This window comes from Homo sapiens, chromosome 7 (genome assembly GCF_000001405.40).
Source record: "Homo sapiens chromosome 7, GRCh38.p14 Primary Assembly".
Lineage (NCBI taxonomy): Eukaryota > Metazoa > Chordata > Mammalia > Primates > Hominidae > Homo > Homo sapiens.
The window spans coordinates 55,117,263-55,141,257 of record NC_000007.14 but is presented as its reverse complement, the minus strand read 5'-3'; the positions used below and the strand labels follow the sequence as shown (position 1 = coordinate 55,141,257).

Sequence of the window (23,995 nt, the reverse complement as noted above, 5' to 3'; positions counted from 1 at the left end):
GAGAGTCTTGGGCCTTTTGAGGCAGAGAGTGTGTAAAGGGACTATAATTTGAACCCAAATTATCTTAAGAGTGAAGAAATATGGCCTCTGGCTTTGGATGTTGGATTGAGCCTTGGCCAGGTTCTTCCTCATCTGCAAAGGCACTTCTGCAATCACAGTAACCAGGTGGTAGAGCACAAACCATGGCCAAAATCAATACACTGGCACTTTCTTCAATGCTTTTTACATGTGCATTTCTATTTTACAGGCTTCTTTGTTCCTTCCCCATGGGAATGATTCTAAAGAGTATCATTGGACTGTCTGCCCTCTCAATGAGCCATGGAAATGAGCACATGTTCAGACAGCACATAACCAACCCAAAGCACTTACACAAACATTAAACATGAAGCAATCTTCACATCCTCTTTAACTCTGTGGGGATTTCCCTGTTCTTCCCTTCTGTGTTCTCATTCAATTTCAGTGATAATGATAGCTTTCACATGGGAACCATGACAGTTGACAAGATGGAGTCCCTCTCTCCTATCACCAGGGGCAGAATTATTCCATCATTTTTCCAACCATAACTCTGGATTGACCCAGCGTCTCTGGTCTGCTTTTCCTCAGGAGTATGGGGGAAATGAGGTTGCTCTGAATGCAACCTCAAGTTGGAACAATTGTGTGGTTGTCGGCTACACATGCAGATAGGGCTAAACTGATTTCCCAATTCTAAGGTTCTTAAAGATGTCAGCACTGATGTAGGTACCAGGTTGTGACAATAACATGTGGCCTTTCGGTTGGCACACCTTGGAATAAAAGCTGCTTTCCCAGCTGACAGACTATGGCCTCTAACTCTCATTCCAACTAGATTGGCTGTCGTCCAGGTAGCCGCAAGTGTTAGTTGGGCCCCTCGTGCCAAACAGATGAACAGGGTCAGCTAGAACCTAGGGCTGGAACACGTTGCAGAAGAGTTTCCTCAGGATGCAGAGAGATGAAAACAGGCAGCTGCTTTCATTTTAAATAATCAAGGACGTCAGCTTGCAAGTTTCTCTCAGCTGAACCAAAGAATTTTTATTATTCAATCACAGAGTAAGTAACTTTTGTCAGTAAAATAAAGGAAAACATGCCATTTAAGATTAATCTATTATAGAAAACAGTATTTTAAAAAAACTGTACTTGTGCTTTTATTTATTTATTCAAAAAGTGCTAAATAAGCCCCAAATGACCCCCCAAAAGCCCCTTCAGGGCTTATTTAGCACTTTTTGAATAAATGAATAAAAGCACAAGTATTAGAAGCACTTCATTATCTATGAGGATAATGACCCTTCATTGTCTACAATTAGCATGTATAACTTTTATATTCAGAAAAAGATCCTGTATTTGGGAGACAGTAACAACATTACATATTCTTGATGTAAATCTTAATTCACAAAACATTTTGGGAAGCAACTGGACAATTTGTTTAAACAAGTAAGTATGCTTAAATTCTACGTCATGATGATTCCACTTTGGGAAACGTATTCTGAGGAAACAGACCTTATGCAGAATGTTGCTCATTAATTTTGTTAATAATGGAAAAAATTGCAAAGAAACTTAAATGCCCAATTACCCAACATGTCTATACTTGAGAATAAGAAGGCAGTTGATATGCTATTTGATTCAATATAAGGCATGTCAATCTTGAATACTATCCTGGGTTAATTACTAAAGTATCAAAAGAAAACACATAAGGTTGTTTCTTCTGAGGCTTTCCCCTGTCACATACCCAAAAGGAGACAGCAGCATTTAACTGAAATCTAGGATGAGGATCACAATGACTTGGTCTAGGTTTTCTAATTAAAACAAGGTATGATCTTGGTTCCATCCTTATACCAAATATCTCATGTTAGAAATATAAAGCAATGAGAAAATTTAATGTGAGACCACTTATATGAGTAAATTACTTAAAAATTACAGTCACAAATTAGGTAGATTTAAGACAAAACTGCAAAGAGCAAGAGGTTTTTAATTAATTTAAGATAAGGTTTTTGTTTAGCCACTTCCTCATTGGGTGACCTTGAAGTACTTCTCCAAGCTCTCTGTGCCATGCTTTCCTCAAATATGAAAATGGTGACAATAACGTTGATCTCTGCTGTGGTTTGAATGTGTTTTCCAAAGTGCGTTTATTGGAAACTTAATCACCAATGCAACAGTGTTGAGAGGTGGAAACTTTAAGAGGTATTATAATTAGGTCATGAGAGCTGTGCCCTAAGGAATGGATTAATGCCATTCATGTAAGAATGGGTTAGCTATCACGGGAGTGAGTCCCTGATAAAAGGATGAGTTAAACCCGCTTTTTCTCTTCCCCACCACCTCACATGCATGCTCTCTTGACCTTCCACCATAGATTGACACAGCATGAAGGCCCTCACCAGCTGCCAAGCAGATGCCAATGCCATGCTCTTGGACTTCCCAGCCACCAGAACCATGAGCCAAATACATTTATTTTCTTTATAAATTACCCAGTCTGTGATATGGGTATAGCAACATAAAATTAACTAAGACAACCTCCCAGAAATGTTTTGAAGATTGAAAAAATATATAAGCTTTTGACTTTCTTTTATTAAAGTTAACTATTGAGAATGCAACAGAAACATAACATAACATGCATCTGGACCCACGTTAGGGGATGTCAGCCACTCTATATTGTCTTAAGTTATTGTCTAAACTGAGATGTTTGGATCTGCATATGGACTTACTCAAATGTTGGCCATTAAACACAGTTACTTTATAGAATATTTATCAAACCAGAAAAGAAAGAAGAAAGAAAAATGAATACATAGTACTTTAAGGATTACATAAAAATATTTATTTAAGACTAGGTATTTCAGTAGTTGATTCAAAGAAAGAGTTGATATTACTTTAAGTCTATACATTTGAAAACCAGACAATTAAAAGTATTTGCATCAAGTTCCATACAAAATGCTAGTGGTTTGCCTTACCCTTTGCAAATCTGAAGACAAATTCTACTGCATCAAGAGCAGCAGGCCCTATGACTTAGGACTTCAAAGCACTAACTTTTTGTCCTAAAATTTTATTATGATTTATAAATGTATAGAAAAGCTGAAAGAATTGTACCGCAAACATCCTTATGTTAGCATTTTACTACATTCACCTTATCACATATCTATTTTTCTGTCTGTCAGATATGGTCCTCTAGTCTGCCTTTGGATGCATTTTAAAGTAAAGTAGAGATATCACTATACTTCACATTGGTATATCACTAACCAGAGTTCAATATTAGTTTGCAGTCATCATTGTTGTTTTTAAGGTAACATCCACAAACTGTGAGAGGATTAATCTTAAGTGTAGCATTTGATGAGCTTTAACAAATGCACATGCTGGAGTAATCTGAATTCCTGTCATGATCGAAACCCTAACTGTCATCCCTCATGCCCCTCCCAGTCGATCCCTGCCCCCATACACCAGAGGCAACTGCTGTCCTGATCCATTTTCACTACAGAATAGCTTTGCTTGCTTTAGAACATAGATGGACTCACACCACACTGTCCTCTTGAGCAAGCCTTATGTCACAGCACAGTAGTTTTGAGGTTCATCTCTGTTGTTGTGCTCCACTTGGCTGTCAGGGGCAGGTTCAGGAAAGTGGATATACGAAGTTATCTGTGCATTCTTGTTGGACATCTAGGGCGGGCCGGTGGTCTCGTTATTATTTTTCTTGAGAAACTCCTCACTTTATTTTAACTGAAAATAAAAGCAATCTGCCTCCTTTAAGTTTTTAAATGCCTCTGGTTTTGTAGGGTAGGCCCTGTGGCCTTCCTCTGCTATTATGGGGTGTATACCACTCTGCCCACAAGCCTGGGCAAATCTATATTACTTATTAAGACACAGTATTAGAACAAGTTTCTCCAGATTTGCCCAAATCCACTTAGACACTTAGAATCGTCTAAGTAAACTATAATTGTTTTAATTTGTTGTTTTCTTAGCTATGCATTAAAGGCTGCTGAGGTATGAGCTGGGCTGTTGTCAGTCTCTCCCCTTGGCCTCCAAGTTGTCTCTGCTTCCATCCCCAGCCCAGATCTTCGCATCTTTGCTTCCTTTGCATCTTCGAGGTACGCTTAAAGGCCTACCCTCTAGAAAAGCCTGTTCTGCAACTACATTAGCTTAAGTACCCACCATTACATCTGTCACATTATCCTGCATTCTCTGCTCCCTGGCAGTGATCACTACTTATTATTAAGTAGGAATAACTTAATAATAATCATGAAATTATTATTTGCCTATGAATTTGTTATCCATCTTTCCCTACCAGATATACAGATGGTCCTCAACTTTCCATAGGGTTATGTCCTGATAAACCCACCCTAAATTGAAAATAGCAGTCGAAAATGGCATTTTGTAGACATGATAGGATTCAAAAACACAAAACACAATATCCCCAAAATGCTGGTGACACAGTCCACTGTATAGTATCAGCTGTTTAGCCTCTTGATTGCATGGCTGACTGGGAGCTCTGGCTCCCAGCCATTGCCTGGCATCGCAAGAAAGTAACATATCAGACATCAACTAACCCAAGAAAAGATAAAAAATTCAACATTAGAAGTATGGTTTCCATTGAATGTGCATTGCTTTCACACCATCGTAAAGTCAAAAAATCTTAAGTCAAACTGTAGTAAGCTGGGGAGTGTCTGTAAGGATGTGTGTGTGTGTGTGTACACATATGTGTATATATAGATAGCTTATTGGACCTACTGGTATGAAATGCACACACACATGTTGGATTTATATTTTTGTTGTGAAAGCAATGGATGGCCATGTGACCAAAGTCTTGGATGACTTGTCCTGGGTTTCTCTGCCTTTCTCGTTTCCGTGTGCCTGAGGGAGATAGAGGAGGAGGTGGGCTGTATGGGAAGAGTGACAGTCCTTGCCACTTTCTGGTTGGTCATTATAAAATATTTCTAGCTTAGTCATATATTTAATTAGGCTTTAAAGGCCAGAGGAGGATTTTTTTCCCGCTTTCTTGCTGAAAGATTTAAGAAAATCTCAAATAAGATGAATGGATAGTTCATTTATAGGATGAACTTAAAAATATGTAAGGAAAATATAGCGAGTTTGCCAGAGGTTTCATTGAATCAGGACCGGTCATTTCTTTTGCTATACTAAAATCTCAAAGTGAACATGTATACACATCTCAAATGTGCTCAAATGCACGGAAGCATGACAGGAGGAAGATACACCGTGTTGTTAACAATGACCTTTTCTGAATGGTAAATTTCTGGGTGTTTTTCTTATTTACTCTTCATAGTTTTTGTGTTTTTATGTTTTCCATAGTGACCATGTATTACTTTATGCTAAAAAATTACCAAAAATTTAAAAAAATCTGTAAAAAATTTACAAAAATCAGTGTTAAAGAAGGCTAAAGAAGGCTATCTTAAAAAATACATTCCTTAAAAATTGAGAAATAATCATGTACATCTATGAAGACACTCAATTTACCACATAAAAAAATTTTATAAATTGTGACTATAGAACTAGACTAGTCTATGAAATTGATTTAAACCACACAATAGTTTGTAATAATGGAAACTAGAAAACCTATAGTTGTGAGTCATAATGAAATAAGTGGTTAAACCAAAGTAAATACACTTATTTAAATTTTCATTGTGGGTTTAATCAAAACTTTTGTGGGATGGAAAAAGTCATAATTTTGAAGACAACTTTTATTCACAAAGCAAATTTTATGTTTTTTCCTCAGTTGTTCCTTATTTTACCCTATTTTATTCCACAACTAATAAATAGTTCTTAACTGATAGGCATCCAAAGATACCTGTCAAACTGAATGTGAATCTATATTGGAACTTGAAAATACACATGTGATACTCAAAAAGTCCTTTTGAATTTCTGACAATCTTCCATGTACATTATAATATGCCTTCTGGACTAAACATGCCAAGCTGCGGCATGCCCAGCACAGCTGCAAACTCATGTATCTCTAATTAAGTTAACAAGCAGAAGACTTGAAAATAACATCTCTTTATTTTGAGTTAGGGAACAGAATACCCAAACTGGTGGACTTCCAACCCCATGATTCTCCTTCTAGCCATTAAAAGAATCCAAAGCCAAGCTTGTGATTTGTAAAATATACACTAAGTAGAGTGAGAATACCTCTTGGGAGTTCCCACCCTCTTGGGAGTTCACTGATGCTTCTGATCACAGGAAGGCCAGTTCACAAGGGACTGTGGAATATGCTTCCAGTGACATCATCAAACTTCTACAGTGTGAAGATTGTGATGGTACCATTATGGGATGATCTCTAGCCAGTTATCTCAACATGCTGGGTCTCAGTGCTCAGTGTACTCTGATTGACATGGGGCCAGCTCGGCGAATTTCACAGGGCAGTTGTGAGCAGTACTGAGATCATGGACATGAAAGGGCCTCAGAAATCATAGATCTCTCTAAATATGGAGCATGACACTGAGGCTTCACATGGCAGCAACTATTGCAATCTATTTCTGCCTATGTGCCTTCAATGATAACTGTTTTACCTTCATTGGTTTTTAAACTAATAATCTTAAATCACTTTCCATTTTTTATGGGCAACTGAATGGCTAGTAAATCAGAAATGAATTTGACCTGTTATTGGACTATAAGAAACAAAATTGGGCTAAAAAAGATTTCAGAAAGCAATACCCGTTGATCTGTTATGTATTCAATACAATAGTTTCATTTTGAGTCCCTACTGTGTGCCGGGCAGCACCCTTTGCCCTGGCAGGCAGTTTCTCATAACGTTTCCATTTTAAACACAAGGACACACAGGAAACAAGGCTTTTGGACGGAGGAAGGCAGATGATTTACCTGGAACTGAACCTGGATATGGCTGGGGTGGGCCTCACTGTGTCCTGAATCCTGGAACTGGACCTGCATGTGGCTGGGGTGGGCCTCGCTGAGTCCTGAGTCCTGGAACTGGACCTGTGTGTGGCTGGGGTGGGCCTCACTGAATCCTGAGTCCTGGAACTGGACCTGGATGTGGCTCGGGTGGGCCTCACTGTGTCCTGAATCCTGGAACTGGACCTGCATGTGGCTGGGGTGGGCCTCGCTGAGTTCTGAGTCCTGGAACTGTATCTGTGTGTGGCTGGGGTGGGCCTTGCTGAGTCCTGACTCCTGAGCAGGGGACATTGGAGAAAGGACAGGATGCTGGCTTCGATTCAAAATCCCTCTGTGTGAGAGGATAGATAGCAGTGAGCGTGCTGGGCCTGGCTTTCCTTCCTAGACAGAGGGTGAGTAAACGCCTCCTCTCGGGCCAGCATTCTACTTGTCTAATCTCTGCGCTGAGACTTTTGCTTACTCATGTTCAGGGGCTCTCTCTTTACACACAGGCATACTTTTGAACTGAATAATACCACTTCCCCTCCAAAAGTCTGTGGGCCAGGCCGGTGCTTGCACTCTGTGCCTCCACTGTGTCCAGGGCATCTGCCTTGCTGCTTCAGGGCCGTGTGGCTCCTCCAGTGGCGCCTCAGACCTGCCAGAGAAGGGCAGTGCAGAGCCAGGGCGGCAGGAGCCCCAGCAGAGCTGGCCTCTCCCTTCCTGGCTCGCTGGGGAGCCGACAGCACCACAGAACCCGGGGTGGGACAGAATGGGGCAGTGTGGACGTGGGGATGACGGAGATTGCATGATTATCACCAAAGGTGAGCTCAGAGACATCTGGTAGAAGGTAGGGGGAGATACAGAATTCCTAAATGGGGTTGGCATCAAAGATCACTGCTGGAAAATCGGCTTCAAAACCCGGCCAGCTGACTTCAGGAAGCCAGCTCTTTGTTCAAAGTCAAGACTGCCCTGTGCTACCTCCCTTCCCCTCTGACTTCACGTCCCTCTTTGTTACTGGAGAGCTGGTGAGCACCAGGCAGTAGAAAGGTGCCAAGGGCTGCTGGGGGCTGCAGACTGCACAGCCCAGCCCAGCCTCCACCACCCCAGCAGGCTCACTGGGCAGCTCACTCTTTCTTCCTCAGCTTTGCATGAGACAGCTCAGTGCTGCCTGCCAGGGTGCAACTCTTCTCTTCCTAGACAGGCCCTCACAACCGAAGGCACCCTAGCAAGGTGATGTGCAGGTAAAGACAGGCAGGGCTGCCGGGAGTTCACCTCGCTGGGCGCTGTCTCACCCAGTCCACACACCTTTTCTCCTCTATCTTCTATTCAGTTCAGGCCCGTGACTCACTCCTTGATGACAAAGGCTGAGTAATATTTCCCATATGAAGCTGTTTATTTGCTGGTTGAGCTGTCGCCCTAGAAGTCATGTGAATACCAAGCATGGCTGAGAAGCTCCGTGGCCAGATGGAGTCAGCCACAGAGGTTGCATGATGACCCTTTGGCCAGGCTCACTCCACCCTGCTCTGAGATGCACACCAGGCACCAAAGTTGCTTGTTCTTTTGTTCATTAATTCAACTACAACATATCTAGTAAAGTAGCGCGAAGGTAGCTGCTAAGGATGAATCAGAAGTACTCACTGCCCTGAAGGAATATGTGAGTCCTTTGGGGAGGCAACTTTACACATGAAACAGTCACAGGACATCTCAGAGCCATGCAGTGTAGAGGTGTGCTAAAGGAACACACGTCAGAAAGAGAAGTCAGTCAGCTCGAGAACTGGGACGAAAGCACCAATATTCCTCATTACCAAGCAAATGAAAACATAATACTTCACATTCAGATTAGAAGACTACCTTGCCTACAAGTGCCAAGTGTTGGGCTTGGTGACTTCACCATACGTAAAATACATAGTCCCACCATTTACCACTAAAAATAAAGTTTCTTCCATTTCTTTTTTTTATGCCTTCCCATCCTCTGGATTCGAATTGGGGGATACAAGTTATTATCCTTCCTGGTTTGTTCATAGTTATCTGTAAGAAACACATCTTCATTCATTCTTCTTATAGTCAAAAATCCTGAAACAGATATGTAATTTGCAAGGAAATAAAAGATCTCTGACTCAAAAATTGGGATTGGAAATTCTTTTTGCAAATGTTTATCTGCAGAGAGATTTTGTTTGGCTTCCGTGGGGTGGTGCATATCCACCCCTAGCCCAAGATGGTTTAAATGTTCTTTTAAAATTTTTCTTCAATTTTTACCCATGTTTTTTAAAAAATCAATCTCTACTGCAGAATTGCGATTTAAAGCCATCTCTATAAACATACACACATTTACATTGGTTTACCCATGAACATTAGGAAAAAAGCATAAAAGCCCCTCTTTCAAAAAAAAAAAGACAACCAAAAATCGAAAGAAAAGAGCAATCACAAAGACACCAGGAGCAGGTCAGTGCACCAGTGTGCTTCTTTTTTTTTTTTTTTTTTCTGAAAGCAAAGATGCTCCCTGCGCTTGTCCCTTTGACCTCTGCAGCACTGGGCCACAGAATGGCCACGTCTAGCTGCTCCACTGTTCCATGACAGCTGTTAGCCTGGGAGGCTGTGCTGTGTGAATGTCTCTGAATGCTGACAGCGCAAGGGGTCAGCAGCAGGGACCTCAGAGCATGCTGGACACCCCAGGGCCTCTGGACTTTTCCCCCGAGGGTCAAACATGCAACTCTCAGTACTGACAGGAGCAGGACAGCCAGTGAATTGAATTGCTGGGGGGCAGAGGGCGCTCAGTGCCTTTGGGGTAGCTTGGGGAGAAGCAGCTTCGAGAGGGAGTGTCCGAGGGGCCCAAGCCGCCCCGCCTGTGGTTTCTAAGCCGACCCTAAGGTCTAAGCTCGCATGGTGCTGCTTCAGGCTGGAGGTGTTCCCTGAGTCGTCGTCATCTTGTCCTCTTTACTGCGGGGAACAGATGAGAAGCAGTAAAAGGAAGAAAAATAACCTTCCTAAAAGATTACTGACTCAATTTTACCAATGAGCAGTCCACTGCTTGCTTTTTTCAAGTTATAGAAACATGTCATGTTGTCAGCAGAACGATGCAGCCAGTAGTTTATGTTCATGTCATAAAGTGTTTGAAGAGTGAAAAAAAAAAAAAGAAGGTGGAAAGCCAGCCTCTGCCGGCAGTTTAGTCGACAGAACCACAGGCAGCTGCACTGTTACTGGCACATGTCAGTGGGCACTGGGCTCAGTGGAGTCCATGGTTTGGAATCCTGGTGCCACCCCTATGAAGGCAACATCTTAATCATGTTGGGTCTGTTTTCTTCATTTGTAAAACAAGGACTCATGTACCTGTGACTCCTGGGAGGGAAGTGAGAGGGGAGAGTCCCTGGTCAAAGCACCTGGCCCCTTAGTCAGACTTGAGTCTGAGTGAGACTAGAGGGGTTGCACAGGAGGAATCCCGTCCCTTTCTCTAAGCACTCAGAGGTTGCCGGCCTGCCCTCCTGCTCACATGTTGTGATGACCTCACCATGGAGCGGGGAAGCTGGTGCTGACCGCAGCTGACCAGCCCGCCTGGACACAGGGATGCGTCTGCGGCTTGAAAGGAAGGCAGCTGGCCTTGTGTCTAGCAGGGATCCTGTGCGGGGCACATACAGCTGAGAATTCCCTTCAGGGAACCCAGCATGCTCTCAGAACAGTCTCCACCCCTGTTCTTTTTCATTTAGAAAAGGGCCTCGCCTGACCCTCTGTGATGGTTTTGTAAGCGTGGTTGGATTTGTGTGCTCTGAGTGTGTGTGGGTTTTCATTTAACGCTTGTTTTAAAATGAGCCCTCTTCTCACTTCCTACTCAACTGAAATCCTCCTTTTAAGTTTCATTTTAAAGTGGGTGAAGGGATGTAGCAGTGTGAAGACAGACCTTGTCCCGGGGGCGGGCGTGAAGCTTTCCCTTTCCCTGGCTACCCTGTAATCCCAAACTCATTCCTGGGGTCGTTGACAAGGAAAAACTGACTCAAAAATCACTAACAACTACCAAGTTAACTCAGGAGAAGCCCCAGCCAAGTTTCTGCCATAGAAGAATCTTAATTTTGGCTCAGGACATTCTTGCAATAGGGCCGCACTCCTGTTTCTAGAATATATTATCCCTTCCATGAGGAGAGCTGCTAATTAACAGACCAGTTCCTGCACGTAGGCACTTGACATTAGATGGCTCCCCTGCCTGAAAAAATGAGTGAGTCGGGAGTGCTATCCTGAGCTGGCTCTTTACTGCCCCAGGCCTGAATCTAGTGAAGCATGAGCCTGAAGCAGCGCTTGCCATGTCTCAGAGAAGGGCTCAGTAAACCTCCTCTGAATACAGCCAGAGAGTAAATGTTTTCAGCTTCACCCATCATATGGTCCCTGTCCCAATTATTCAACTCTGCTGGGATAGTGTGAACGCAGCCACAGACTGTAAGCAAATACATATAGTCATGCTCCAATAAAACTTTATTTGCAAAAACAGGTGGCAGGCTAGGCGTGACCCACAGGTTGTGCTTTGCCAGCCCCTGTTTTAGGGAAAGGCCTAGCAGGAGGTCAGGAAGTATGTGATGAGGAGCCCTTTCATCCTATACTTTCTAGAAGACAGACCTGGTTGGAGTGATTCATTTTCCCCCAAGGCCAAACTCCAAAAGGATTTTCTTAGTGCTAAGCTCTTCCTATTTCATCATCAGCTAAATAAAGGAATTGAAGTAAGATACAAGGTCCTGAAACCGGAGAGGGAAATGCAGGGGCTGGGGATTGTTATTTGTGTGTGTTTGTGTGCAGGGCAGTGTTGCAGCTCCGTGCTGGGCACAATTTACTTCTAGATTGGGATACTCACTCCCTACCCTCACCACTCCCACCCAGGGCCCCTGCCTTCCCATACTCTACCAAATGGTTGTCCACTCCTCCTGGACCATTCTGAGTGACTAGGAGTGTGTGAAGAAGCAGTCTACTCTTGTTATTGACAACCCTATCACATAATTGTTCCTTATGTTAAGCTGAAACCAGTCCCTTGATAATTTTGTTTGACTTAACACAGATGCAACGTATTGCTTCTCTACCTTACAGCCCTGCAGATATTTTAAGACAATAATTGTTTCTCATCACGTTTCTCACCCCAGTGCTTTCCTGCAGATTCCCCGCCTCCACAGCCCTCCTGGGAATTCCACGTGTGTGGCCTCTCCACACAACTACATCCTCTGCAAAGGCCTCCCCAGCTAGATCTGCTTCTTGGCTTCTGTAGTCCCCACGGCTTTCTCTCATGTATGAGCACTCACTCACACTTGAGTGCTGAAAGCATTCTATTATTTCACAGCACATTTTGTCCTTTAAAGAGATAACATGTCATCTGAGAACAGCACAAACATTTTGTTTTCTTTAGCTTATTATTTTGAAAAATTAGCAAGCAATAAAAAGATAAATAAAAATTGTTGAATTACTGGAATGCATGCATGAACATCATATATAAGTTTTCAACAGATGTGATTCCCTTTTCTGTACAGTGTAATAATGAATATGGCAGTTGAGTAATGAAAATGGAATCTGTATTCCATCTATTAATAGTAGGCCTGACGGTAAATTGCTCTCAAGTTTGGATGAGGAAGTATTTTTCCTTGCTTTGGTCTCCCCTAGGTTTTAGTTTCCTATCACATCCTACTAGCTTAATAGAATTATATTTGCTATTGACTACAGATATAGAATCTTGTAGAAAACCCATTTTCTGATTGAATATATTTGAGATCTAACTAGAGTGATATTTTCCAAAAACATGGAGTCTTCTAGAATACTAGACAAGAAAAGATATCATTGCCATGCTTTGCTTCATTATTAATTACTATGCAAGGGAATACACACAAATAACTTGCAGGGGTGAGTCACAGAACACACGTCGTATATTCTTTAAAAAATTCCTACTTTCAACTTTTCTCTTAGGTTTTCTTTTGCTTTTTGAAAATGTTTTGTGATTCTCTTCTTTCATTAAACTTTTTAAAATAGCTTTCATATTTAAGGGCAAACTTTCTTAAATAGCTTTCATATTTAAGGGCAATGACTAAGGTGAAGCTGCTCCGCCATGACAGTAATTTTAGACCAAAGAATATTTCAGTGGATTTCTTTAACTCTCAGTAATAAACTATTTGAATTTCTCCTCCTTGGGGACAATTAGAAATGAACCGCAAAGGGACACATCAGCTGCTTTGATCAGCAGAAGTGTCTTTCAAATGCAGGCATCGTTCGGTGGTCTAGGAGACTCGTGGTAATGAAGCAAGAAGAGGAGTGGAGCAGCAGGGCTGGGGCCAAGTCCCTGGGTCTAGAAAGCCACTATGAATGAACGCTGCTTGCACCCATTATAGGTCTAAGCACCAATCCAGGCTCAACCGCTCACTCCAGGAGGATGGGAAGCCTTTGTTTTGGTTCCTGTGCCAACTCTGGCTTCTCTGGCTGCCCCATTCAATCTGACAGAACATGTTGACGGAGATAAGGTTATTACTGGCTCCCGCAAGGCCCTACCATGTGAGGTGGTTTCCAGTGGCCTTTCCCGGGGCTGAGAGCGGGGCCTGGTGAAATGGACATATTATAAGAAGTCTGCAATCTGTAATCTGAAGCAAGCTTTTGTTTTTCTTTTTAAGTTGACTGCCTGGTTATTGAGGCCAGTAACCAGAGAAGGGAAAAACTGGAAGTGTGTACTTTGTGTCTCAACTGAATTCATCCTGAAGTTGTTTATTCTGGCCCACTGTCAAGTCTTTATAAGGGGGGTGTTGGCGGCAGAAAGGATTGGTCCTAATGGCTATATGAGTGCCTTCTACTCAGCTAATTTCTATGCTGTTGAACAGCCATTCAAAGCGTATTATTTTTCCTTGAAGCCGAGAAAGTTTCTATACAAGCATTCCTTTGAAAGTGCAATTAACTTTTGTAACAATTTGTGCTTTAGTTTAAGAATTGCAGATGTTGTGTGGGTGGTGGGGGGTGAGGGGGTGGGAAGGAGAGGATGAAGGAGTAAGGATATAGATGCCTCCCACTTGGAAAATGTGGTAACACTTCCTTTCGTGGAAAAAGCGCATCAATTTTTAGAATTACTAAAACATTTAGATGGTTGGTGAAACAACTGAGAAGGCCGTGATGTTTGGTTTGGGGGAGGTTGGACTGGATCATCTCCCAGCTTCCTCTCCTTCCTAATGAGACCCAGATCTTTGTGACAGAATTATCTGGAATTGTGATTTTATGCTTGGAAACTGTCCAAAGGTTGGGTAGCAGAGCCCTGCCACTCATCAAAAATGCTAGCTCAATTTGCAAAAGAAATACAAAACCCAAAATGTCACATCACCATTGGGATGTAAGTATTGATGTGCGTGGGTCAGAGGAGCTCTTATTAACTAGATGGTACATTAGTTTTCACTGGGGAATGGTTTTCACCATTAGAAATACACTTGCACTGCCCCCAAGTCTATTCCTTATTATTTAGTGTTAGTTTGAGGTTAAGCGGGGGTGTTTGGTTTCACTGAATGTTTGTGGCTATTTCATACTACGGTATGATCCTTAGTAAACCTTCTACCTCAAAATCCACACTACTTTTTGTATAATGAATATCTCACTCATCCCCTGACAAACAAGATAACATTTATAAAATACTTTATAGTTTGCATTTGCTAATAATCTAGATTTTCTAATTCATGTATATCCAGTACTTAAACTATTAACAGAAATCAACCTAATAAGGAAACTATTGAGATTCAATCCCACTAGAATTAAATCCCTTTTATATGTGTGACTTCTAGGAAAGCAGTTAATCAGAGGCAGTGCAGGAGCATTTCTCTCCCCCTCACTGGTATGTGGGGATGAGGTGTGCAGTGGGGGCACCTGGCATGGTCTTTGAATGCATGGGTCCTGGCTTCACAAGCCTGCGTTTGCACCCAGCTCTGCCAACAGTAGTGGGGTCCCCTTGGGCAAATGACTTCTCTTTACTAGCTTCACTGTCCTTGTCTGTTAAGTGGGAGTAGAAGAATGCCTCCCTCGTGGATTGTTGCAAGGATTAAATTGTTAATATTTGCACAACACCCAGAAGAGCATCTAGGTCATGTAAGTGGTTGCTGTTGTCATCGTCCTTTTAGGATTAGTATGTGCAAAAACGAACAGTCCTGGGACATAGCATTGACTGGAACCAATGCTGTTCCTGCCCTCAGGAAGCTTACCATCCAGTGGGGAGACAGACATTCACTGAATCATCACAACATCACAACTGTGATTATGCCATGGGGATGATCTAAGAGTGCAGAAACCTGACCTGGTCTGAGAGGTTCTGGAGGGGTTCCTTCAGGAAGCAGTTCAGCTGGGCTTCTAAGGACAAGCGGGGCCCCGCCACATGTGGGGAAGAGTTGGGGGCAGGGGACCTTCCTGGCAGGGCAGGAGGAGAGGGACTGTGAAAGGCTGCCTGGCTGAACAGAGCCTAGCAGAGATGAAGCTGAGAGTGTGAGGGGAAGTGGGATGGAGAGGTTCCTGCTGCAAGGCTTGTAAGGACTTTAGATTTCATTTGAAAGGCACTGAGAAGCCACTGACAGATTCAAATGAAGAGGAACATGTGCAGATGTGTGTTTTTAAGAATGCCTCTGCTTTTTGGAGGGGGTCCTAGATGGCATCTGGAAGTGGGCGTGTCTGTGACAGCACAGTGCAAGGGGCCCTGTAGCGCACAGGTGCTCTGGACTTCGCCTGGGTCAATGCCTCATCCTGGCTGTGACGCTGCAAGACGTCTCCGTGGGGAAAGCTGGTACGCTGGATTTATCCGCATCATTTCTTACAGCTAGTATGTGTGAATCTACAATTTTCTCAAAACAGACAGTTTAATTACATAACTTCTTGAGATGTACAAGCTGTAGGGCAGAGCCCTTGCAAAGAAATATCATCCCTAGGTATGTGTTTGCTTTATGGGAGGAGCTGGCACCCCAAAGCTGGAGCACCCAGTGCTGTTGGAAATGAGCCTGGCTTCTGGCAGTGCCCTGGTGACAGGTGACTCTTCTTCTCTAACTGAGATAAATGGAGTTAGCCATAATAGCTTGTAACTTTCAAATACTATGATTTTTTCTTATAATTTTTTAAAGCATGTGGTTTCAATGTTGCATACTCAACTTATGACTAATAATTAGTTTTCTCAATCCCATGTTGCACATTTTAGTATTAAATAATCTCCTTCTCCCAACTTGAAACACAAACACAAAAACAGATCTTACTGCCATGTGGAGAAGGGCCCATTAGGCCTCCAGGGAGTGTGGAGAAACCCCTAGGAGGCGACAGCAGAGCCTGGAGTCCCACCACTGAGAGTGTCATCTGCAGCACAGCAGCGGGGACATCCCCAGGAGCCTGCTGGAAATGCAGCCCGAGGGCATCCCAGATTTGCTGAATCAACATCTGCACTTTATTAAGGTTCCCAGGTGACGCTCATGTATGCTGAACTTTGCAAAACAGTGCACCAGGGAGATGGCAGGGTGAAGGGGCACAATGGACACCCCGACAGGGGTTAAAGAGGGTGAATCGACAAACTTGGGGATGGCTTAGCTACAGAAAGATAGAAGAGAGTGGCATCAAGTAGCTGTTGACATCTCCAGGTCAGAATCGGGAATGTTCGAGTGAGTATGGTAGTAGGAGCACTGGAGGCTCAGGTTTATAGACTGTGAATTTGGTGTGGAGCAAGGCATGTGGGGCAGCCAGCCTGAGATAGTGTCTGGTCTTTCAGCTAGGGCTGTAGAGGAAATCAGGGCACCCAATGGATGATCAGAAGGGAACGGATCCTGACTGTTGTCATCTTGGCTGGAATCAGCCAGTTGAATTGCCCCCGAGGGATCCATCCTTTGGATCAGTTATGCCCCATCTAAACTTGCAGATGATGATAATGCAGATTTCATGAAAATCCTAAGATCCACAACTCTTAGCATAAAGCCCTCTATAGTTTTTCAACCATAAGTTGCAATCAAAGAATATCATACACAGCACCATGATTTTAGAGCTTAAATTTGTAATTTTGAAAATCTGAAAATTTAAGAACTGAGTTAAGCAAGTCTCCAAGCCTTGGCCCAGGCTTATTCATTTTTTATTTTGAATAATTTAGTCAATTTTATGGCCAAAATACCTCTCCAAAAACCTGGTAGAAATTTGAAATATACTCATATCAATAAAACATGTTGGAACAAAGGTTTTAGATTTGATTGAAGTAGTATGGAATGTCATAGGGACATTTTCTGACAATAGCACTGGGAAACATATCAAGTCTGAACATTTTAAAACCATGACTGATAGGGAGAAAAGTTTTTCCTATAATTTAAGCTATAGCTTTCTTGTTAATTTCCCTATTTCTTTATGCACTTTCTCTAACTAGACTCTAGAACTACACGCATACATTAATACACACACATACACCAAGCACACATGTACATTCACACTTTTATGTGCATACACACATACTTGCAAACAGATGCATAAAACACACATACATGTACACAATACATGCCCACACACGTATACACACTTACTTGCACACACATGCACACACACACACATCCATTTACACACGTGCATGCATGCACATACGGGCACATTCACATGCACACACACACAGAGATTTAATTCTAGTTTGAGTTAAGAAAAACCTGCTGCTCTAGTCTTTTATTACTCTCCCCTCCTGCTTGATTCCTCTAGGTTTCTTCTCTTCTAGGCTTTCCCCCTCATAAACTGCCACTGGGATTTGAATTGACATTCATATCCATGAGATATTGTAGCTCTAGACCTCCTCTTGCAAAGCCTCATGCAATAAGGCATATGATAAATGTGAGATGGAGACCCTCAAGCTGCTGCCAGCAATTGCTTATGTGCACCAGTAGACTCTGAAGATATTTCACAAGGAGGTACACTTAGCTATGAAGAAATGCATTTCCTACAGATGCTACACCAAAAAGGAAGACCAGAAAGGAGAAAAATATATCCTTTCTGGGATATATAATCTGAAAGAGATATGCAGTATTTTTAGTTAAGTTTTCTTTATATTTGTTTGTAAAAGGAATGATATATCAATTACTCTAAGCAAATAAAATTTGCAAATTAATTTCTTAATTGATTGCACAGATATTTGTTTCAAAGAATGACTCTTTAATCACCTGGCTTTGACCGCAATATCACCACAATACCTTGAGTTAATCTGAAACGTACTATGTTGTACCAGGAAAGGTCTGTAATCACATATCACATTTTCTTCCCCCAGACGTGATATTTAATACACAACCTGATAAAATAAAGGTAATTAGGTAGATGATTTTCAATATCTTCTATAGCAAGCCTGTAGACAAAAAAAGAATTCCTGACCTAGTCTTGTTGATTTTTTCTTACTACAAACTAGCCTGGTCATCCTTCTAAAATATCCCACCATGTGAATTATTTTGATGAGATCTTTGCATTGAAGGTTGCACTGTGCTAGTGTGAACCATTAATTAATCAATTCATCAATTAATCAGCTATATACTGAATACAAGACACTGCACGCTGGCCCCAGCACTGAGGGAACTCAGTTGAATGGCAGAAAAGCAAGTCAGCCACTACCCCACATTGTGACAGATGCTGTTGTGGCAATACTCATGAGACATGCTGGAAAAGAAGTTGAGGCAGCTGCTGATTTTCAGCTAAGAGAGGATGAGGGACACCTCATCAGACTGAACAACTAAGGAAAGTGTCCCAGAGGATCTGATGCTTGAGCTGTCCTGTGATGGATGGCTTGGAGGTAGGCAGAGGAGAAAAGGGGAGAAAGGGCAAAGGGAACAGAGAGTGAGAAGGCACAGAGAGGGGAGGCAGCAGGAGGAGTCAGCACATCTGTGAGAGAGTGAAGATCCCATGCAGGTTGGAACGGCTGCTGCCAAAAGTGAGCGGAGCTCAGAAGGGCAGAAATGCGCAGCCATGGCTGCCTCTTGAGGGCGAGGGTAGGAGGCTGTGCATTTCTTCAGCAGCACACAGCGTGGCTGTGCGGTTCCCCCCACTGCCACCAGCAGCCCATTGAGGACACATGCTGCACTGGCCCAGGCATGGACTTTGCAGGTTGGGCAGTAAGAGGGGAGTGAGGGAACACTAACGATGTGAGGCTGTGTCATGCAGACTGGACAAAAAGAGGGAGTGAGACCAGATGGGAGCTGCCAGGTGAAAAATCACGTTACCAAAGGCCAAGGTCGACGGAGGACTAGAGTGCTCCATGAGCAAGGCTGAGAGTGCTGGGAAGACAGCAGGCCAGAGAGAAATGTGGCCCGAAGACTGGAGAGGTAGAGCCTTCCCAGTTATGGTGGGGTCACAGAGGCTCCTAGAGAGCAGATCTCTTCAGTGAATTGACTTGTTGCACAAAGATTATCTAAATAAATTGTTATCATTTCCTTCCAGAAGTGGGCTCAGGTCTCCCCTCCAAGTCTTTTTGGATAGTGAAGAATCAGTAAAGAGCCCCTAATGCGGATTAAAGAGAGATGCCCAGATCCACTGGACTGAACTGGGCAGCAGGGAACTGCCTTTGAAGAACAGGCCCCACATGGGACAGCTTCATTCCCAGTCAAGGTCACTGTCGCACAGAGGCCATATATATTTGTTAAATGACTGAATTACTTATGGTACAAACTTGACTGCATCACTTAAATGCTTTTCGATTCTAGTAAGAGGAAGTTCTTCTAATATTAACTTCGATTTAGTGGAAGTTACCCAAGAAAGCTCAGTAATCCAAAATAGAAGACAAAGTCACCATTATGTGATAGAGTGTTGTATGTCTAGGGGTCTGTTTTTTATGGTAATTCTCTGAACCAGGAGTTCCAATGGAGAGAACAAAACTATAGTGGTGGTGGCTGGGCAGAAGGCTGACAGGGAGACAGAGCAGAAGACAGCACAGTCACGCTGCTGGCTACTAGGACAAATGACAGCTCTCGAAGGGCAGTACCTCACATTCCTCTCATCACAGAAAATGAGAAGGTGTGTAGGACATTCTTCTAATGGCTGAGCTGTTACCTAAGAAGGGTAACACACAATGCCACTGAAACGCCATATGATATCTGCCAGAGGCACGGGGCTCCCATTGACTCCTCCTCTGTTGAAATGGATTCTGAAAGAGCAGCAGCAATGAGAGAAGAGAGCCGCCTTTTCCTGGGAATGTCTGCCAAAAAATGTTTACCTTCTCTTCCATATCAGAGTTTTATCCCTCAATCTATGTATGGTTGTAAGCAGCTAAGCATTCAGAAGTTTGGATTGTATGGGCTTTCTGAAGAGGACAGTGTGAGGAGCTCTTGTTTTCATGCTAAATTGGAGACTTCATCCCTGCACAGTATGACACACTTCCCTGTGTTGTAAGACTTGGATTTAGTTCATGGAATCTTCCAGGCTTTCAAAACAGATGACCTCTCACTAGAAGATCCACTTATCTCTTTCCCCTTGGCCCTGTAAACCAGCCCAGCAAAGTCCCAACTTGCAACAAACAGGCAATTCACTCTACCGGAAAACAGTTATCTAATCTCTCAAAAATGACACCTGGCCAGTTTCTAACCGTAATGCCTTTGGACTCATTTCCATCAAATGTCTTCCTATAAGCAATGTTAACAATGTCTTTATAACTGTAGGTGCTGTAACCAGTGGAGAATACAATTAAAAATAGGAATATGCAGCCCGATGAATGCCCTCCACTCCAAACCAGTGTTATGAGATGTGTCAACAACGTTCCCAGGAGAGCTAATCTGTTCACCATTCAGCAAGTGCTCACTGAGCCCCGGATGTGTGCCAGGCCCTGTGTGTGCTGTGGAGATACCAACAGTCTCCGCCCGGATGGAGCTGACAGTCTAGGAAGGGGGATAGATGTTAAATACTCTGGTGAATATTTCTCCCACCACCACCCATTGGCTGATTTAAAAGGAAAATGGGGGATGCTTTGCAGATGGTTCATTTCCATGTAAACGTCCTTGTGGTTGTAATACATTGCTTTCTCTACTAACAAGAGTTAACTTTCAAATGAAAAAATGGAGTGATTATTTGTCAAACCAAAGTGCTTTCTTCATTATTAATAAAGTTGCTCAACATCCCTTTAGTAAGTGAAGTTATTCACACAGGGTACCAGGAAGTGGAGATAGTCACATATTAGCCCTCTTGGGCCCTCCACGTGTAGGCAGATGAACAGGAACCACGAGGGTGGGTGGCGTCCCCCAACACTGGAGAGCAGGCTGTGTAGAGTGCTCTTGGTCATCCTGTCTGCAGTCCTCCTGCCAGGGAGGGCAGCACCTGATCACAGAGAGACACAGCGATGCAACAGAAACACTGAAAAAGAGTAGCTTGTCCTGGCCCACGTCAGCGGCCTCGGGTCCATCCAGGTTTGCAAAAAACAGGAAGGTTTTCACTTGTATCTGGCTACCCAGTCAGCATACTGGCCTCAGCACTATTTGTATGTCAGGAACTCATGAGACCAGTACTTCTCAAACTCTCATGGACATAGGAGTTACCCAGGACTTTGCAAAAATGCAGATTCTGAGATTTTGGAGGACCTGGCCAACTGCATCTCTAACACACTCCAGGGATGGTTGTGCCCATGGCCCTGGGGAGGTGAAACAGATTTGGGGCAGTGGTCACCTGCTGCAACAGAATGTGTCCTCCAATAGAAGGACCTTTCAAGACACTGATAAGGATGGGTCAAGAGGAGAGGTGAACCAGGGCAGGGTGGGTTCACGCAGCCCAGGAAGACAAAAGCATAGGACCGTATTGTCAAATGCAGAGGGGCCAGGCCACGCCAGAGCGAGGGGAATCCCACAGATGTAGCTACAAAGGGATCCTTGGGATACCTTTTTTTGAACATTTCCTAGATCAGTTTCAGTAGAGTGGCTAAACAGAGATATTACATTCTGAACAAATTCAGGCTTTAAACAGGAGAAGATACACAGTGAGACTCTCTTCCCACAGCATTTGCTAGGGTAACACCAACTCCAATTATGCTGAAATTCTAGTTTCCAAATAGTTGATGGTTGTTGGGGATGTACAGCATCAGAGCCAACATTATCCCCTATATGTTTCTGGAACCACTCGGAAGATTGTGTTGGTTTCAGGCTCTATGTCATGGCTTATTGTCTTAAACCAGGAGAGTCTGACATCCAGTTCCAAGGCTGTAATCTCTCTCTGTTACACCTCATGGGAAAAGGGTTTGTAGGTCATGATAGACACTGTGTATGGAGAAATAGGTACTCAATTCATTAGGAGGGCACTCTCTCAAAAGGCCTGTAGTTATTGATCAAAAATTAATTTTATAGCTTTCACATTCTTCTCAGATCAGATGTATTAGAAAATTAAGGTCTTGATGATGCCTTCCTCTTCTTGCCAGGATAAATTGAATGGCACTTGAACTGTAAAATGAGCAGGGGAAAGAGCAGAGTTTTAGGCTTACTTGGTCCATTGTTCACTTCTATTCTTTTCTCCTTGACTTTGGAGGAAAGGTAGGATTTGTTAATAAAAATGTTTTTAAAATTTATTTTTAAAGTTAAACTAGCTTTCTAGTATGAGTTTTTTAAGTAAAATAACCAATTTTCCCACGAGTTTGCTACTGAGAAAACACTGAATGGGAAGATTTGGGGGAGCATTTCAGGCTGATGGGCTGACTTCTTATGTGTCACTTCACCCCTCCCTGTGCAGTCCTGGTTCCCGCCCGCCCTGGGACACTTCTCTGTGGATCTGTGAGATCACAGCTCCTTTGTCGGCCCCTGGAGCTGTCACCCATGGCTCTGAATGACTTAGTGACTTGTCATGTGCCAGTGGACATGACATTTCTGGAGGGCAGAAATGGTGTCTATCCAGCTAGCCACAGCCAGTGCCCAGTGGTGGCCTGACACATAGTGGACAGTTGACACGTGTTTGTTGAATGACTACCCCAAAGGTGGCAACCTTCCACACAGCCGGGGAGTGGGGGAGAAATGTGTTCAGAGGCTGGTCCACCTGCTTCTACCACTCTGGTCTTTGGGATGGTGCCTTCAGGTACCTACTGAGCCTATCTTACTCTAGTAATCTTTTAAAGTATTTGAGATTACCAGTGCTTCTCAAACTCCAATGGACATAGGAATTACCCAGGACTTTGCTAAAATGCAGATTCTGAGATTCTAGGAGGGCCTGACCATCTGCATCTCCAACATGCCTCAGGTGATGGTTGTGCCCGTGGTCCTGGAGAGGTGACATAGATTCAGAGCAGTGGTCACCTATTGCAACAGACTGTGTCCTCCAACAGGAGGTCCCCATTAATTTCAGAAGCACTGGCAAAATGCTCAAAAGGGTAATCTCCATCTAAGCATTTTATGAATAAAGGATTCATTAATGAAAAATTAACTTGTGCTGGGCACTTTAAAAACCACTAAAATGTCAAAGTGTAATTGTAACGCAATTCTAATTTATAGACACGCCGAGTCTGAGTGGTGTCAGGCCCTACTCTGGTCTGGATTCCCTTCCTTCTCCTTTTCTGGGGGCCCAGTTCTGCACAGGTGCATGTCTCAAACTAACTCCAGTCTTCCCAGCATCAGCACTGAAGTTCTAATTGCAAATTTTCAGTGTTTTGGCCTAGGAAATCTAGCCTTTTCAAACTTCTGAAGCCTCAAATATACACTTTACCAATGCTTTTCCGCAGCCCTGACTGTGTCATTCACCATGACTGCAGAATCACATACACATATGCAAACCCTCGGGAGACTTGGTCTTCCTTGCTCCTTCGTTGAGGGCACTCTGCACAGGGTCTATGGCGCAGAAGGGAATACCGCCTAGGACTTGATCGCAGCAGTATGCCCTGGTGGCTGCTTTGGGATTATTTTTTATAACAGAGATCTATTAAAGGGCCATGTTCCCTGGAGGAGTTCTCCCATCATTCCAGGTGGTTTCCTCCAGGGTTGCCCCAGCTCTGCTAGTATCAAATATCCTCCTAGGGCAGCAACCATGGCCAAGAGCCGTTCCTCTTTGACAAGCTGCCTCGTTTTCTGCAGCTTACCTATAACATGCTAATTGAATGTGGGAGTTACAGAGTGTGGGTCCCCCCCACCCCGGGAAATGCCCCTCCTTGTAGACTGCTATGTCTTTCATTGGGTACCATTATTTCTCATCTTTTCTTGCCTGCATTCAACAAACTTTTACCGATCTAAAAAGGTGGCAAGACAACTTTTAC

The 23,995-nt window shown here is 43.3% G+C and overlaps 1 protein-coding gene across 11 annotated transcripts in view, besides 6 other annotated features; it reads right to left on the bottom strand.

Annotated features, from left to right (window-relative positions):
- The window catches only part of EGFR (epidermal growth factor receptor), a 192,612-nt gene that overhangs the window by 70,371 nt on the left and 98,246 nt on the right, over positions 1-23,995 (bottom strand). The window contains exon 1 of one of the 11 annotated variants that reach the window (XM_047419952.1): positions 6,829-23,995. This exon is cut by the window's right edge and continues 21,731 nt beyond it. The exons of the other annotated variants lie outside the window; for them this stretch is intronic. The gene's annotated coding sequence lies outside the window, so the exon portion shown is untranslated. The remainder of the gene's footprint in view (positions 1-6,828) is intronic. 11 annotated transcript variants of the gene reach the window in all.
- Positions 208-277: an enhancer, noted in NCBI's record as "active region_26011". NCBI's record gives its function as "activates an Ori minimal core promoter by ATAC-STARR-seq in GM12878 lymphoblastoid cells {active_cell/tissue: GM12878}" and the evidence as "EXISTENCE:reporter gene assay evidence [ECO:0000049][PMID:35858748]".
- Positions 7,419-8,618: an enhancer, noted in NCBI's record as "P300/CBP strongly-dependent group 1 enhancer chr7:55200333-55201532 (GRCh37/hg19 assembly coordinates)". NCBI's record gives its function as "activates an origin of replication core promoter dependent on BRD2, BRD4, P300/CBP, MED14 and CDK7 cofactors, with strong dependence on P300/CBP, by STARR-seq in HCT116 cells {active_cell/tissue: HCT116}" and the evidence as "EXISTENCE:reporter gene assay evidence [ECO:0000049][PMID:35650434]".
- Positions 7,479-8,478: an enhancer, noted in NCBI's record as "H3K27ac-H3K4me1 hESC enhancer chr7:55200473-55201472 (GRCh37/hg19 assembly coordinates)". NCBI's record gives its function as "activates a minimal SCP1, AML or CMV promoter by ChIP-STARR-seq in primed H9 embryonic stem cells {active_cell/tissue: H9 hESC(primed)}" and the evidence as "EXISTENCE:reporter gene assay evidence [ECO:0000049][PMID:30033119]".
- Positions 9,132-10,039: an enhancer, noted in NCBI's record as "H3K27ac-H3K4me1 hESC enhancer chr7:55198912-55199819 (GRCh37/hg19 assembly coordinates)". NCBI's record gives its function as "activates a minimal SCP1, AML or CMV promoter by ChIP-STARR-seq in primed H9 embryonic stem cells {active_cell/tissue: H9 hESC(primed)}" and the evidence as "EXISTENCE:reporter gene assay evidence [ECO:0000049][PMID:30033119]".
- Positions 10,345-10,504: an enhancer, noted in NCBI's record as "active region_26010". NCBI's record gives its function as "activates an Ori minimal core promoter by ATAC-STARR-seq in GM12878 lymphoblastoid cells {active_cell/tissue: GM12878}" and the evidence as "EXISTENCE:reporter gene assay evidence [ECO:0000049][PMID:35858748]".
- Positions 10,515-10,594: an enhancer, noted in NCBI's record as "active region_26009". NCBI's record gives its function as "activates an Ori minimal core promoter by ATAC-STARR-seq in GM12878 lymphoblastoid cells {active_cell/tissue: GM12878}" and the evidence as "EXISTENCE:reporter gene assay evidence [ECO:0000049][PMID:35858748]".